Source organism: Homo sapiens, chromosome 8 (genome assembly GCF_000001405.40).
Source record: "Homo sapiens chromosome 8, GRCh38.p14 Primary Assembly".
Lineage (NCBI taxonomy): Eukaryota > Metazoa > Chordata > Mammalia > Primates > Hominidae > Homo > Homo sapiens.
In genome coordinates this window covers 50,139,765-50,158,332 of record NC_000008.11, presented here as the reverse complement: position 1 = coordinate 50,158,332, position 18,568 = coordinate 50,139,765, and the positions used below count along the sequence as shown (strand labels likewise).

At 36.5% G+C, this 18,568-nt stretch overlaps 1 protein-coding gene across 20 annotated transcripts in view, besides 1 other annotated feature; it reads right to left on the bottom strand.

Moving 5' to 3' along the window:
- Positions 1 to 18,568, bottom strand: part of SNTG1 (syntrophin gamma 1) — an 886,897-nt gene that overhangs the window by 638,360 nt on the left and 229,969 nt on the right. The gene's annotated exons all lie outside the window — the stretch shown is intronic.
- Positions 4,089 to 4,596: an enhancer, noted in NCBI's record as "OCT4-NANOG hESC enhancer chr8:51066297-51066804 (GRCh37/hg19 assembly coordinates)". NCBI's record gives its function as "activates a minimal SCP1, AML or CMV promoter by ChIP-STARR-seq in primed H9 embryonic stem cells {active_cell/tissue: H9 hESC(primed)}" and the evidence as "EXISTENCE:reporter gene assay evidence [ECO:0000049][PMID:30033119]".

The following is an 18,568-nucleotide window of genomic DNA, read 5'->3' as shown; positions in this document are numbered from 1 at the left end:
TGTTTTTTATTTCCTAAGAGACAGGCTAAAAATAAGACTACATATGTGAAAGATGAATAGATTTCATATAAATTCAAGAATTTTCTAAAATTCCAGCCATGTGACATTAAAATATCAAGAAAGCTTTGGATATCATGGATCTACCATAATCTGAACCTGATAATGGGAAGAGAACCCTTTACTGCTTAGTAGAAGAAATGAACCAAAAGTGCCTATCTTGATGTCTAAATGGACCAGGTCTCCCAAACTAAGATGATCATGGAATTTGCCACCCAAACAATGTCACTTGGGAGAGTGATAGGAAGAGGTATTTACAATTTGCCAGGACAGTTGACATAAGCCAGGAATGCCCTGGGAAAAGAAAATATACATTTAACTTATCCAAAACTAACAACCACTTATTGCTTTTATCTGTCAATGAACATTTCTTTAGAAATTTTTGAAAAAGTTAACTTCCATCTAGGTTTGGTAACTACTTTTATAACATTCTCGATTCTATGGATTTCTTTATTTTCATTTCTATGAATGTGCAAGACAGGAAAGGTCTCAGTGCTGTAAACAAAGCACCAGTAGCAATCTCAAGAAGCTGCACATTGTTTTGTTTCCTTGGCTGAATTCTTGAATTTTACCTCCGTTTTAATGATTTATAATGAAAAGTCCTAAATATCACATTTTATTTTGTCATCCAATAATACCTTATCTGCAAGCTCGGGGAAATTCCATAATTTAAAATTTTCTTAAAGGCTTTTGCTGCTCTATTTAACCTTCCTTTTTTGATAAGACAATAATAATTATGCGAAGAATAAGTTTTTAATTGTGTGTTGAATAATATGTATTTTGTGTATACTAATATGTATTTTTATAATCAGATTTACCTTAAAGAATTATCAAGTAATCATTAAATATAAGTGTTTATTGGGGGGACAATTTAAACAAAATAAAATACTCATATATGAAAGACACAGTTTGATGAGTTTTAGCAAACCTATATAGCTTTGTAACTACTCCTCTGATCAAGATACAGAACATTTCTATAGCACTCAGGCACAGTCACTCTTCTGATTTTCATCATCATAGATTAATTTACCTAGAAAGCAAACAAATGAAATACTACCACAGCTATGCATCTAAATATCTATATTCAGACATATGGAAGTGTCCATACATCTATAGATATTGATATCTATTTTTGTCTAGTCTTCCTTGTTTGAGATTCAGCTCTGTTTTTGCATCTATCAGTATTCCATTCTTTGTATTGCTGAGTAGCAATCATTGCATAAATATAAAACCATTTGCTTATCTATTCATTTGATCATGAGAATTTTGTGCAGTTTCAATTTAGATATGAAAAACTGCTATGAACACTTGATTTTATTCCTCTTGGAAATGGAAGCACTGTACCATTTTACATTTCACACAGTGCTTGTGAGTTCAGTTGCTCAACATCCTTAACAACACTTGGTATTGCCAGTCTTTCTCCTTTTAGTTATTCTAGTGGGTGTGACGTGGTAGCCCAAGATGGTTTAATTTCCACTTACTTGATTAATAATGATGTCAGCGCCTTTTCATGTACTTATTCACAATTTGTACATCTTCTTTAGTGGCATGCCTGGGTCCTTGATCAGAACACTTGCCCATTTTTAATGGGCTGATTTGTCTTTTTAGCAATGATTTTTATTATTCTTGATACATTTTGTCCATGGGCACAACTAGGAAATACATGCACATATCCCAACCTATATTTTAGGTTATATATTAAACTGTATACAGTAATACATATATAACTATATATACATACAGATTCACATTATATATATCAGCCATATATTGATCAGTGCATATATTGATTTTTGTATTTTGAAGTAATCTTAGATTTCTAGACTAAATCTATGTGGCCAACATGTGTTATCCTTTTATGTATTGCTCAATGAGATCTGACAATATTTCATAAAAGATTTTAGCATCCGTGATCATAAGCGTTATAGATCCGTAATTTTAATACATTTTCATTCTGCTATAGCACTTGACAATACTGGATTCAGGGCCATACTGATTTCGTACAACAAATTGGGAATGTTTCCTCTCCTTGTATTTTTTGAAAGAGTTTGTGTAAGTTTTGTATAATTGTTTCCTGAGTTTTAGTAGAGTTGACTAATGAAGCCAACTGTACCTGGGGGTGTTTTGTGTATAGGGGCAAAGGATGAAGTCTTAAGTCTCAATTTCATTTATTTAAACAAAATAAGGCTATTCAGATTTCCTCTTTTTGTATTAGTCTTAGCAGATTCTATTTTTCAATAAAAGTTTTCATTTCATTTCATTTGCCCTTTTTTTCTTTACTGAATAGTGTTTATTTTTTTTCCTTTTTACACTTCTATATATGTAGTATTCATGGTGTTGCTCTGACAAATTGTGATTTTTCTGTTTATTTTCTTTTACAATTCTAACTAGAGATGTATTTGTTTTATTCATCATTTCAAACAACTTTTGTCTTTATTATTTCTATCTTATGTTTGTTTTCTGTTACCTTTATTATTTGTTTTCTTCAACTTACCTTGAATTACATTAAATCTTTCTTCAGATGGCCCTATAGAGTGAAAGGTGATGTTTTTATCATAAACCTTTTATTCTTTCTAATATAAAAAATTAAGGCTATACATTTCCCTCTAAGCTTCATCTTACAAATGTTTATTATCTTTAAATTATCTATAATTTCTCATTTATTTTGTGGTTTCCTGTGCATAGCTTAATTTACAAATATTTGGGAATTTCTAAACATTATAGAATATTTTATCTCTTATTTAATTCTGTAGTGTCATAACTTAAAATTTTTTGCCTAGCCAAAGGTCACAAATATTTTCTTCCATTTTTTTTTCTATAACTGTTGTGGTTTTAACTTTTACATTAGTTCTCTAATACACTTTTAGCTAATTTTTGAATTGTTGATTGAGATTATTTTTGTTTACTGTGGATATCAAATTGTTCTACTACCAGTTGTTTTTAGATAATCCTTTTCTTAATGAATTGCCTTTGCAACTTAGATGAAAACCAACTGATCATGTGAACCTGGGTCTAATTTTGTACTCTCTATCCTTTTCTTATGATCTCTCTGTGTATTTTTACAACAGGACCATACTGCCTGTAATCAAGGTAGTTTTATTTTGAGCTTTCAAATGCAGCAGCACTACAACTTTGTTTCAAGCATGGTGGCAAATTTGGTCTCTATTAATTGATCTCAAGTAAAAGAAAAATCTAATTCTTTCACAAGCTATTTTAAAATTATTTCAATTGAATTTTTACTTTGAAATAATTTCATAGAAAAAAGTTGTAAGTATAGTACACAGAATTACTCTATAACCTACACCCATTTTATTCTAAGTGTAACAAATTACATAACCATTAACAGGTTAACATTGCCACATTGCCATGAACTGAACTATAGGCTTTATATTCAGACTTTACCTTTTTTCCACTAATGTCTTCTTTCACTGCAAGATTTCATCCAACACGCCACATTTCATTTAGTCATCATGTTTTCTTGGTCACTTCCAATCGATGGCATTTTGTTCAGGTGTTTTGTTTTCTATGACCTTGATAGTTGTGATCAGTATAGGCCAGGTGATTTATAGATGGTTGCAATTTTGGTTAGTTCAATGCTTCCCCATGGTTAGACTAGGTTTAAAGATTTTTGTGAAGAATATCACAGAGATGAGCATCTTTCTTATTTCATTATTTGAGGAACGACAGGACTTATTTCTGGTAACATATACCTTGCCCTCTTGGTTACAGTGGCGTCTGCTGGGTTTCTCTATTCTAAAGTTACTAAGACAGGTGATTTCTGCACTTCCAACTGAGGTACCCGGTTCATCTCACTGGGGCACGTTGGACAGTGGGGGTAGGACAGTGGATGTAGCCCACCGAGTGTGAGCCGAAGCAGGGTGAGGCATCGCCTTACCCAGGAAGTGCAAGGGGTCAGGGAATTCCCTTTCCTAGCCAAGGGAAGCGGTGACAGACAGTACCTGGAAAATTGGGTCACTCCCACCCTAATACTGCACTTTTCCAAGGGTCTTAGCAAACGGCACACCAGGAGATTATATCCCATGCCTGGCTTGGGGGGTCCCACACCCACAGAGGGGTACCGGGCTGTATGAGGTGTCAGTCTGCCCCTACTGGTAGCACAGCAGTCTGACATCAAAGTGCAAGGCAGCAGCGAGGCTGGGGGAGGGGTGCCCACCATTGCTGAGGCTTGAGTAGGTAAATAAAGCAGCCTGGAAGCTCAAACTGGGTGGAGCCCACCTCAGCTCAAGGAGGCCTGCATGCCTCTGTAGACTCCACCTCTGGAGGCAGGGCATAGCCTAACAAAAGGCAGCAAAAACCTCTGCAGACTTAAATGTTCATGTCTGACAGCTTCAAAGAGAGTAGTGGTTCTCCCAGCAGGAGTTCGATATCTGAGAACAGACAGACTGCCTCCTCAAGTGGGTCCCTGACTCCCGAGTAGCCTAACTGGGAGGCACCCCCCAGTAGGGGGCAGACTGACACCTCATACAGCTGGGTACCCATCTGAGACGAAGCTTCCAGAGGAACGATCTGGCAGCAACATTTGCTGTTCAGCAATATTCGCTGTTCTGCAGCCTCCGCTGCTGATACCCAGGCAAACAGGGTCTGGAGTGGACCTCCAGCAAACTCCAGCAGACCTGCAGCTGAGGGTCCTGACTGGTAGAAGGAAAACTAACAAACAGAAAGGACATCCGCACCAAAACCCCCATCTGTACATCACCATCATCAAAGACCAAAGGTAAATAAAACCACAAAGATGGGGAAAAAACAGAGCAGAAAAGCTGAAAATTCTAAAAATCAGAGTACCTCTCCCCCTCCAAAGGAACACAGCTCCTCGCCAGCAGTGGAACAAAACTGGAGAGAGAATGATGCTGACGAGTTGAGAGAATACTTCAGACAATCAAACTTCTCTGAGCTAACGGAGGAAGTTTGAACCCAATGCAAAGAAGCTAAAAACCTTGAAAAAAGAATAGACAAATGGCTAACTAGAATAACCAGTGTAGAGAAGTCCTTAAATGACCTGATGGAGCTGAAAACCGTGGCACAAGAACTATTTGATGCATGCACAAGCTTCAGTAGCCAATTCGATCAAGTGGAAGAAAGGGTATCAGTGATTGAAGATCGAATGAATAAAATGAAGTGAGAAGAGAAGTTTAGAGAAAAAAGAGTAAAAAGAAACGAACAAGGCCTCCAAGAAATATGGTACTATGTGAAAAGACCAAATCTACGTCTGATTGGTGTACCTGAAAGTGACGGGGAGAATAGAACCAAGTTGGAAAACACTCCTCATGATATTATCCAGGAGAACTTCCCCAACCTAGCAAGGCAGGCCAACATTCAAATTCAGGAAATACAGAGAACACCACAAAGATACTCCTCGAGAAGAGCAACTCCAAGACACATAATTGGCAGATTCACCAAAGTTGAAATGGAGGAAAAAATGTTAAGGGCAGCCAGAGAGAAAAGTCTGGTTACTCACAAAGGGAAACCCATCAGACTAACAGCTGATCTCTCGGCAGAAACTACAAGCCAGAAGAGAGTGGGGGCCAATATTCAACATTCTTAAAGAAAATAATTTTCAACCCAGAATTTCATATCCAGTCAAATTAAGTTTCATAAGTGAAGGAGAAATAAAATCCTTTACAGACAAGCAAATGCTGAGAGATTTTCTCACCACCAGGCCTGCCCTAAAAGAGCTCCTGAAGGAAGCACTAAACATAGAAAGGAACAACCGGTACCAGCCACTGCAAAACCATTCCAAATTGTAAAGACCATTGATGCTAGGAAGAAACTGCATCAATTAACAAGCAAAATAACCAGATAACATATAATGACAGGATCAAATTCACACATAACAATATTAACCTTAAATGTAAATGGGCTAAATGCTACAATTAAAAGACACAGACTGGCAAATTGGATAAAGAGTCAAGACCCATCAGTGTGCTGTATTCAGGAGACCCATCTCATGTGCAGAGACACACATAGGCTCAAAATAAAGAGATGGAGGAAGATCTACCAAGCAAATGGAAAACAAAAAATGGCAGGGGTTTGCAATCCCAGTCTCTGATAAAACAGACTTTAAACCAACAAAGATCAAAAGAGACAAAGAAGGCCATTACATAATGGTAAAGGGAGAAATTCGACAAGAAGAGTTATCTTAAATATATATGCACCCAATACAGGAGCACCCAGTTTCATAAAGCAAGTCCTTAGAGACCTACAAAGAGACTTAGACTCCCACACAATAATAATGGGAGACTTTAACACCCCACTGTCAACATTAGACAGATCAATGAGACAGAAAGTTAACAAGGATATCCAGGAATTGAACTCAGCTCGGCACCAAGCTGACCTAATAGATATCTATGGAACTCTCCACCCCAAATCAACAGAATATACATTCTTCTCAGCACTGCATCGCACTTATTCCAAAATTGACAACATAGTTGGAAGTAAAGCACTCCTTAGCAAATGTAAAAGAACAGAAATTACAACAAGCTCTCCCTCAGACCACAGTGCAATCAAACTAGAACTCAGGATTAAGAAACTCACTCAAAACCAATCAACTACATGGAAACTGAACAACCTGCTCATGAATGACTACTGGGTACACAATGAAATGAAGGCAGAAATAAAGATGTTCTTTGAAACCAATGAGAACAAAGACAAAACATACCAGAATCTCTGGGACACATTTAAACCAGTATGTAGAGGGAAATTTACAGCACTAAATGCCCACAGGAGAAAGCAGGAAAGATCTAAAATTGACACCCTAACATCACAATTAAAAGAACTAGAGAAGCAAGAGGAAACACATTCAAAAGCTAGCAGAAGGCAAGGAATGACTAAGATCAGAGAACTGAAGAAGATAGAGACACAAAAAAGCCTTTAAAAAAATCAGTGAAACCGGGAGCTGGTTTTTTGAAAAGATCAACAAAATTGATAGACCACTAGCAAGACTAATAAAGAATAAATGAAAGAAGAATAAAATAAACCCAATAAAAAATGATAAAGGGGATATCACCACCAATTCCACAGAAATACAAACTACCATCAGAGAACACTATAAACACCTCTACACAAATAAACTAGAAAATCTAGAAGAAATGGATAAATTCCTGGACACATACACCATCCCAAGACTAAGCCAGGAAGAAGTTGAATCCCTGAATAGACCAATAACAGGCTCTGAAATTGAGGAAATAATTAATAGTCTACCAACCATAAAAAGTCCAGGACCAGGCAGATTCACAGCCGAATTCTACCAGAGATAACAAGGAGGAGCTGGTACCATTCCTTCTGAAACTATCCCAATCAATAGAAAAAGAGGGAATCCTCCCTAACTCATTTTATGAGGCCAGCATCATCCTGATACCAAAGCCTGGCAGAGACACAACAAAAAAGAGAATTTTAGACCAACATCCCTGATGAACATCGATGCAAAAATCCTCAATAAAATACTGACAAACCGAATCCAGCAGCACATCAAAAAGGTTATCCACCATGATCAAGTGGGCTTCATCCCTGGGATGCAAGTCTGGTTCAACATACAGGCTGGTTCAACATACACAAATCAATAAATGTAATCCATCATATAAACAGAACCAAAGACAAAAACCACATGATTATCTTAACAGATGCAGAAAAGGCCTTTGACAAAATTCAACAACCCTTCATGCTAAAAACTCTCAATAAATTAGGTATTAATGGGACGTATCTCAAAATAATAAGAGCTATTTATGACAAACCCACAGCCAATATCATACTGAAAGGGCAAAAACTGGAAGCATTCCCTTTGAAAACTGGCACAAGACAGGGATGCCCTCTCTCACCACTCCTATTCAACATAGTGTTGGAAGTTCTGGCCAGGGCAATCAGGAAGGAGAAAGAAATAAAGGGTATTCAATTAGGAAAAGAGGTAGTCAAATTGTCCCTGTTTGCAGATGACATGATTGTATATTTAGAAAACCCCACCGTCTCAGCCCAAAATCTCCTTAAGCTGATAAGCAAATTCAGCAAAGTCTCAGGATACAAAATCAATGTGCAAAAATAACAAGCATTCTTATACACCAATAACAGACAAACAGAGAACCAAATCCTGAGTGAACACCCCTTCACAATTGCTTCAAAGAGAATAAAATACCTAGGAATCCAACTTACAAGGGATGTGAAGGACCTCTTCAAGGAGAACTACAAACCACTGCTTAATGAAAAAAAGAGGATACAAACAAACGGAAGAACATTCCATGGTCATGGATAGGAAAAATCAATATCGTGAAAATGGCCATACTGCCCAAGGTAATTTATAGATTCAATGCCATCCCCATCAAGCTACCAATGACTTTCTTCACAGAATTGGAAAAAAACTACTTTAAAGTTCATATGGAACCAAAAAAGAACCCGCATTGCCAAGACAATCCTAAGCCAAAAGAACAAAGCTGGAAGCATCACGATACCTGACTTCAAACTATACTGCAAGGCTACAGTGACCAAAACAGCAATGGTACTGGTACCAAAACAGAGATATAGACCAATGGAACAGAACAGAGCCCTCAGAAATAATGCCACACATCTACAACCATCTGATCTTTGACAACCCTGACAAAAACAAGAAATGGGGAAAGGATTCCCTATTTAACAAATGGTGCTGGGAAAACTGGCTAGCCATATGAAGAAAGCTGAAACTGGATCCCTTCCTTACACCTTATACAAAAATTAATTCAAGATGGATTGAAGACTTAAATGTTAGACCTGAAACCATAAAAACCCTAGAAGAAAACCTAGCCAATACTATTCAGGACATAGGCATGGGCAAGGACTTCATGTCTAAAACAACAAAAGCAATGGCAACAAAAGCCAAAATTGACAAATGGGATCTAATCAAACTAAAGAGCTTCTGCACAGCAAAAGAAACTGCCATCAGGGTGAACAGGCAACCTACAGAATGGGAGAAAATTTTTGCAATCTACTCATCTTGCAAAGTGCTAATATCCAGAATCTACAAAGAACTCAAACAAATTTACGAGAAAAAAACAAACAACCCCATCAAAAAGTGGGTGAAGGATATGAACAGACACTTCTCAAAAGAAGACATTTATGCAGCCAACAGACACATGAAAAAATGCTCATCATCACTGGCATCAGAGAAATCAAATCTCCAATGAGATACCATCTCACACCAGTTAGAATGGTGATCATAAAGAGTCAGGAAACTACAGGTGCTGGAGAGGATGTGGAGAAATAGGGACGCTTTTACACTGTTGGTGGGACTGTAAACTAATTCAACCATTGTGGAAGTTGGTGTGGCGATTCCTCAGGGATCTAGAACTAGAAATACCATTTCACCCAGCCATCCCATTACTGGGTATATACCCAAAGGATTATAAATCATGCTGCTATCAAGGCACATGCACACGTATGTTTATTGCAGCACTATTCACAATAGCAAAGATTGGAACCAACCCAAATGTGCATCAATGATAGACTGGATTAAGAAAATGTGGCACATATAGACCATGGAATACTATGCATCCATAAAAATGATGAGTTCATGTCCTTTGTATGGACATGGATGAAGCTGCAAACCATCATTCTCAGCCAACTATCACAAGAACAAAAAACCAAACACCGCATGTTCTCACTCATAGGTGGGAATTGAACAATGAGAACACTTGGACACAGGAAGGGGAACATCACACACTGGGGCCTGTTCTGGGTTGGGGGGAGGGAAATCATTAGGAGATATATGTAATGTAAATGATGAGTTAATGGGTGCAGCACACCAACATGGCATATGTATACATATGTAACAAACCTGCACGTTGTGCACATGTACCCTAGAAGTTAAAGTAATAAAAAAATTAATAAACAAATAAAAAATAAAGTTACTATTTCTCACTTTATGTACTTTATTCTTTGAAAGTGAGTCTCTAAGTCCAACCTACACTCAAAAGTAGTGATATTAAGCTCCACTTCTTGAAAGGAGGTATATCAACATATATTATTCTGAATTCCTCTGCAAGGAAGATCCCCCTGTGCCATATATTTATATTCATAATCATTTTTATACCAGTATGAATTCATATTCATGTATGTTTATTTTATATTTAATATAGTGTCTATAGATATATACATATACCTTATATAGGATATATATCTATGTATACACACACACGCTATGTTACGCATATTTTTGCTCAAATTGTACAAACTTTGGCTGTTGTGAGTTCTTTCAGATTGGGTCCCATGTCCTTCTGATATAACCTGATCTTTATTTAACTTCTATTTTTGCCAGTATTCTACTTTCTAGCATTATAATATGCATTATGCTTATCCTCTATTTTCCCTGTCTCAAGTAGAGAATCAGCCATTTTTCCAGGAAATCCTGGTTCATTTCATTAGAGAGTAATATTTAGAAACTGAGGCATGGCACATGCAGTGTGTTTATGGTTACTGGAATTACAGTGCTTCTAGATCCCATGCATGTGCACAGCTAGGCAATACATGCATGTATCCTAACCTGCATCTCATATAATTTATGTATCTGTCTGTATCTGTTATTGAATTAAATAAATTCATAATACCTCCAGATGTAATCCAGAACTATGAGCTTCAAAGTCAATCCCCACCATCCCTCCTGGCTTATTCCTCTGACAGAAAAAATGCTGAATCAATTTGGTCAAGGTGGCATCTGCAAGGTTTATCTACTCCAAAGTCACTCTTTAGAGTAACCCATTACTTATATTTTATTACTTATTTGTCAAACCCTAGTGTATTTGTAAAGTGGTTTCAAAATTTCTAACCTCCATTTCTGTAAAAAACAAGTTTTCCAAATAAGGTACAGTGATTAATTCTTTAATTCTATAATTCTTTTGTCTTTAGCTTACTTTACAGTTACCAGTCAAAACAGTTATTTTTCTGATGTTTCTCAAGTCAGCTCCAATTTTTCCCTTACCACCTTCAGTGAAGTTTGTTATACATTTATAATATAGTTTGATTCATTTTTCACAGTCTGCGTTCCATTCTGACATTCCCTGATGTCCTGGTTGATTTTTCTTAAATGACCTGTTTTCAAATTTACTAGATGACTCTTGACAAATGCGTAGAGTCATGTATCTACCACCCAAGTATCATGCAGAAGAATTTTATCACTTTCAAAGTTCCCTGTATCCTTGTCACATTCAAACACTCCTGCCTTTGGTTTTAAATACAACATCAACAGGATATATGGTAAAAAAAAAATTAAAAATTGGACTTAATTAAAATGTAAACTTTTGCTCTGTGAAACACATTGTTAAGAGAATAAGAAGACAGCCATATAGTGAGAGAAAATATTTGCAAATCATATATGTGATAAAGAATTTATATCCAGAATGTATAAAAAAATCTTAAAACTCAACAAGAAAAAAAAAGAACAAAAAATCATCACAAGACTTTTAACAGACACTTAACCATAGAAGACATATTAATGGCAAATAATAATATAAATAAATCTAAATTTAAACTACATTGAAAGGCCACTACATAATTTTTAGAATATCTAAAATTAAACAAAACTCTTACAATATCAATGGCTGGTGAGGATCGGCAGGCACAGGAATCCTCACACATTGACAATTGGTTGCAATACGACATAGCCACTCTGGATGACAGTTTGGCAGTTTTTTAGATAAGTAAGCCTGCCTTACCTTTCAACCTAGAATTCCCACTTTGTTTTGTTTGTTTGTTTGTTTGTTTTTGTGTTTTTGTTTTTGTTTTTAGACTGAGTTTCACTTTTGTTGCCCAGGCTGGAGTGCAATGGCGTGATCTTGGCTCACTGCAACCTCCCCCTCCCAGGTACCAGCGATTCTCCTGTCTCAGCCTCCCAAGTAGCTTGGATTAAAGGCATGCGCCACCACGCCTGGCTAATTTTTTTGTATTTAGTACAGACGGGGTTTCACCATGTTAGTCAGGCTGGTCGCGAACTCCTGACCTCAGGTGATCCACCCGCCTCGGCCTCCCAAAGTGCTGGGATTACAGGCATGAGCCACCACACCTGGCCAAGCATTCCCACTTTTAAGCATTTATCCAAGTAACTTGAAAGCATGTTCACACACATACAAACACACACAAAACACACACACACACACAAATTGGATACTCTTTAGTTGAAATATTTCCTTATCCTCATACAAAATAACATTAAGTATAGGCATTTTATTTTTCTAATTTTCTTTCCAAAGTGCCTTAATAAGTTTAACAAAATCATTTATCTATATTTAGCTATATTTCTACAAGTTTCCACCTAACATTCTTTTTTTTTTTATTATTATTATACTTTAAGTTCTAGGGTACATGATACAAAGATAGTTCAAGTCATCTATATATTTTTATTAGAATTTGAATATGCTATATTATTTCCCCTTTAAATGTATTTGAATTTTATTATTCATAGATATCTAATTATTCAAAAATATATATCTAATTTTAAATTATTTAAATATGTAAACTGCTACTTTCTAAAATAGATGAACATAAAAATAAAAAGTGCTTTTGACAATAAGGAAATTTGTTATTTTGGAACAATCAGTTCTGCTTTCCCTAAACTTTGTCGGGTGAGAAAAATATTTCAGTTTGTGTTATTAATCCCTGAAGCAGAGTATGTCAGCATGAGTTTCTCAACACCGCCCCAACTGCCATGACTTTTTCTGTAAGACAGTAAATGCAGTCAGGCTTCATCCCTAGAGTTTCATCTTGAGTAAGTCTACAAAAGGGCCCAAAATTCACATTAGTAGGCTTCTTCTTTGACTATGATCTGCAACCAGGAGTTACTTCATTAGTTTCACATCAATTTTTTTTGAATAATAAATAGTTATGTATGAATTAGTCTAAAAGTAAATATTAAAATATCAAAAATACAGAGCTATTTCCTCTGCAAAGAAGCAAGCAAATAAAACTGAGTCTATAATTCCATCTAGCTATATATATTTGTATATAGATTTTTCATATTTATCTGTTTCAAGACTTATTTTAAAATGTGTCTATAGTCATTGTCTCCACTAGCACTCGATGAAGAGTCTCCTCAATCCCTCAATCCATTCCAATGAGGCTCCCCCTTTTCTCCTAACACTGCTGTCCTCCAGGTGGCCAGGGCTCTGCCACTGTCACTCCTGGCATCCTCCCTATGGTTGGCATTGCCATCATTCCTGAAGCACTGAGTCCTCTCGGCGTGGAGGGCACCACATGTGACTGGTGTTCCTACCTCATTTGGTGTTCCTTCTCATCTCCTTTTGTCATTGTTTTCTGTCATCCTGACCCCCAAAGCCCAGAGCACTGCAGGCAGCTCAAGTCCTGCTCTCTTTCCTGATCTTTATTCAAGATTACCAAGACTGCTGACCTGACAATGCTACTAGAAGTTTTCATAAGTGTCTCAAACCCAGAATAAAAATACAACTATTGATCCCTTTCTTTTACAACTATTGATCCCTTTCCTTTATATAAAAAATGCTCTGTGTACCTATATATGTGAGTAGAACGTTTATCCACCCACTGCTCAACTCCCAATCTACAGCCGCTCCTCCTGCCCACTCAGTCGCCTGCCACTCATTCTTACCTGCTGGTCCCTGCAGTGCAAATGGAAGCATATGATTCACTCCATCCCCATTCCTGAAGAAGCTTCCTAAATGATCCCCAGTCCTATTTTTGAGCCCTCCAATTCACCCTACAGTGCTAAAGGCATGAAACATATAAAATTCTCACCCTTCACTTACAGCACCTTAAAGGACTAGGTCCCTGTATAACCCATGGAAATTCTTCCTGAAAATCTGTATGCAGCTGGCTCCTCCTCATTGTAATATCTCCTGCTCAGAGGAGCCCATCCTTGATGACCTCACCTAGGTATGCTGGACCTCATACTCACCACTATCATTTCACCCTTAGGTTATTCTGTCCTATCAAAATCAACACTATCTGGAACTATTGTCTCCATTTTTATGTTTCCTTCCTGATTGATTTCTCCATCTGCCTTCCATCTGTGGCCCGAACATACAATGCATTCTAAGTAATTTGTCTAAAAAGTAGGTCATTTAATCATTAAGATGGTTTCGTATAGCATATCTTGAAGTAGTGTTTTTCAAAGTTATTTTTTTAAGTAGGCATTTCATTCAATCGGATGAAATTTTCTAGGCTAAAGATTCTAGCCAGGATGTTGGAAGTGAATGTGTGTGACTGCATCTGTGTGTCAGTGCTTCTGATGAAATGTGTCATCACTCTGGTCCTGCTCTCCAGGATTCATGGACTCAAATCCATACCGAGGTTGATGGAAGGCTTCTGGTGACATGTTCTTGTTATGCTTCTCAGCTACCTCATGTTAAAAGGAATTCTAATTTTTAATACTGATTAAGGTATATGATGTAACTTTTAATAAGCAGCAGAGTGTAGCTGTATTCCAAGTTTTGACCTAGGAAGTCAGTCTTAATATGTTACTCCCCATTATCAACTAAATACAAGGCATTTTCAATGGAGGTTGTACTCAGGAATATGTGACATATCCATTATACTAAAATACACTCTAAAATTAAACCAGACCAACAGAGTTATGCGCCCAAACAGTAACATATTGGTTCTTTCTAAATTGCTTTTACAGACTGCTTGCTAAGTGATTCTTATCAAACTTGCATCTGAGCAAATGTTATGCATATGTATGTTTAAAAGTACGAGACTATCTGGCACAGTTTGGTGGAAAAGAGTATCCATAGACACTTGAAAAGTGATGTTTCTAATATGAATAAGTCTTTAATACACAGAAGCAATTTCTGCTACACCAGTTACTATTTGTCACCCTAGTTAGGAAATATTTTCTAGAGTCATCCCTTCCACTGCTAAAATATAATTGTATTCCCCATTTCCATTCAGTATTTTAATGCCAAGGGAGGATAAGGAACAAACACAACGTTTTTCTCAATAAAAATTTAGTAGTACAAAATATAGCAAGGCAAAACTTGAAAACTAGACAGGAAATTTCACCTCAGACAGAAAGTGATATTATTGTGAGTATTGGAAATCAGAAACATGTAAACAAATGTCCCACTAGAACATTTCCCACATGGAACATTCTGTCAGGTCGACACAGCATGGCCATATAATGTAATTGTTCTGGGTAATGGGAGACACTATGGACTTTATTTATTTTTTATTTTTATTTATTTATTTATTTATTTATTTTGAGATGGAGTCTTGCTCTGGCCCCCAGGCTGGAGTGCAGTGGAGTGATCTCGACTTATTGCAACATCCATCTCCTGGGTTCAGGCGATTCTCATGTCTCAGCCTCCCGAGTAGCTGGGTCTACAGGTGCCCGCCACCAGACCCAGCTAATTTTTTTGTATTTTTAGTAAAGATGGGGTTTCACTATGTTGGCCAGGCTGGTTTCAAACTCCTGACCTCAGGTGATCCACCCGCCTTGGCCTCCCAAAGTGTTGGGATTACAGGTGTAAGCCACCACACTGGTCATGGACTTTATTTTTAATTTGTCTTGCTTTTGCAAAATTTCAGTGAGAGGTTTTAACATGATGAAATACATCCATCAACCTGTATTCATATGCTTGTAACACTTGTATAAAGTAAAAATGCAAGCCATTAGAAAATTTTACTTCATTTACCATCAGCTTCTTTAACAAAACCTTATCTCTTCCTGAATAAACCTAACTACAATGTTATCAACATTCATTTTACTTCTGGTTACCTTTTCTTAAAAAATAAATAAATTCTCTCACTTAACCAACTGCTTGATTCATTCAACCCAAATATATATATATATATATATAATCTTTTTAATTGCAGGTTTGTGTTAAAAAGTAAAAAGCAAAATTTTTATGTTTGCTATGAAATTCCTTGTGAATTCTTCTTCAAGCTCCTACTCTCTTCCTCACTTTTCTTTGTTTATAGCTCCTCTGTTATAAACTTTATGTCCTTGTATTATAAATCATATTATATCCTTCATCTTAACTGTAGTCTGGGTTTCTGTAGAAAACACACAGAGGAATTCATTCTTGTGTTCCCAGATCTTGTAAAATGCCTGTCGTGGGAAGTGTTTAAGAAATGTATGTTTTCTGGCTAAATAACTTTAAAAATGTTTAGATAACAATATTACAGCTATACTATAAAATATCATGAAGCCATAAGAAACAATTAGGTAAACCTACAAACATACACAATTATAGTGACCCAGAAAGAAATGTCATAACATTTAAAGATAAAAAGTAAGTTATAGAAAAATAGAGTGTGAGCTGATTTTGCAATAATAGGTGTCAATATAAATAATTTGTATCTATGTGTGAGTGTGTGTGTAATAGTTATATGCCATTGTAAAGGATGACAAATAATGAAACACACATATATATGCCCAGCTTTTATTTTCTTTTATTTTCAATATTATTAAATTATAAATATACATAATTATGCATTATGAAACCTTAACTGAATCTTTATCATGAGATATGTTATTGGTTCCTTGTGGTCCTCTAATTCTTTCTCTGTAGATCTATCTAGTAGAACATTTATACAACATGTTGTAAGGCATTAAACTTACATTTTCACCCTCCACTAAATTAAGAATTCTCTAAGGTGGATTTCATGTCATTTTGTTGTTGTCATTGCTGTGTATCTTAATGATCACATAGTAACTAATGTGTTTCAGATACTCAAAATGTTCCATTTTAAATGGATAAATAATTATATGGAAGCTTAATTAGCTAACCTTCCTAGCACATGTCCATTTTTGCACATATTCATATCTCTCATTGCAAGCGTTTAGGTAGGTTTGAACCATTAGTAGTCACAATTTTTGTTTATTAATCATTAGGAAAATGCTAATTAAACCCAAGATGTGGAACAATTGCACACCTACTAGAATTCTGGAAATTAAAAACAAAAGTGAAACAAATGAAAAAATGCAGACTAAGGGTTGGCAAGGATGAAGAGCTGAAGCTCTTACAGGTTGCTGGTGGGCATTCAGAGGTATCTTATGAAGTTCAACATGCACTTACCATCTGATGTAGCAATCCTGCACTTACTATCTGATCTGGCAATCCTATTCCCATATATTTAAGTAAGAAAGTTGAAAAGAGACATTCATAGGAAGACCTGCCTAAAACGTGAACAGCAGGCTAATTCATAATCAGCGAAACCTGGAGACTCCATGTATCTTTCAAGTGATCACTGAAGAAACACATTTTCATGCATTCTTACAGAGTTTCTGTTCCAGTGGGTCTGGTGTGGGCCAAATAATTTGAATTTCTATCAAGTTTCCAGGGGATGTTAAAGCCGTTGCTTTGGAAACCAGACAATGAGCACACTGATTTAGAATATAATTAGTAAAGAGCTTAGATGGTTGCTCCCTCAACCTACTTCTTTATAATGGAACCAATGTATACAAGTATTTGTACAATGATGTGTGAGGTGAGATGAAAACAATCTCCCTGTTTCCAAAATGACCATGTTTTAAAGATGATCCAGAAAGATCCTCCCATAAAGAAGGAATGAAGATAGATATGTCAAAATATGAACTTAATGCTTTAAGCATTTAAAATGAAAGACAAGTGAGGTTGGCACTTGGTCTCTGCAGGCCAAGGGGGAGTTTGTATTATGTATGTGCACACACACTCAAAAACACACTCACACCCACCCATCCACATTCAGACTTACATCCACATACTATAAACATTCACACATACACACTAACATGAACATTCTCATACACAGTTTCTAACACTCATACCCACACTGACCACACCACATAAAATACACACACATTCTCGCAAACACACACACTCTTACACCCACATACACATACATAAGGCATATACACACCGTACATACACACTCTCTTTCAGACACACACATGTTCAAGATGAACCAGAATGGGAAATCTGGCTGAGAAAGGAAGCATCACCTTTAGCAGTTCATTAGGCTCAGAAGAAGACTGAACATGGATACAACTGGAAAGATGCAATGCCATGTGTGACAATGTGGGATCCTTCCAGAAACCCTTCTCAACTACAATAACAATAGTGGAATCAGTTGACCCCTCTTTAAATGTTAGATTTCTGTCTCACACTTCTTGATTTCCAGCATCACACAGAACAAAGATTTGCCTCATCAGTGCTTATTGGTTGATTGATTATTTTTTATCAAATAAACTGGGACCTTACAGAACAATATATTATCTTCATGACATTGCAAGTTTCGCGGCCATTTACTCCAGCACTTATTTTAATTTTTGCATTGTTTTCTTTGCAATATAAAACAGAAACACAAAGCTCGCTAGTGACATGTGAAAAGCTTCAGACATCAACTGAATTTGGCAAGACTATTCTAAACTGAACTACATTACTGAGCTATCTGAGTTTACTCATCACTAAGAGTCACTGTGAATCTTTCTGCAAATGTTCTCATCTCCTTTAAATTCCAGTGACTCACTCTTGGCTCTGGTGCTTTGCAATCTTGCCAGGTATCTGGGGAATGTGCACAGTGGGCA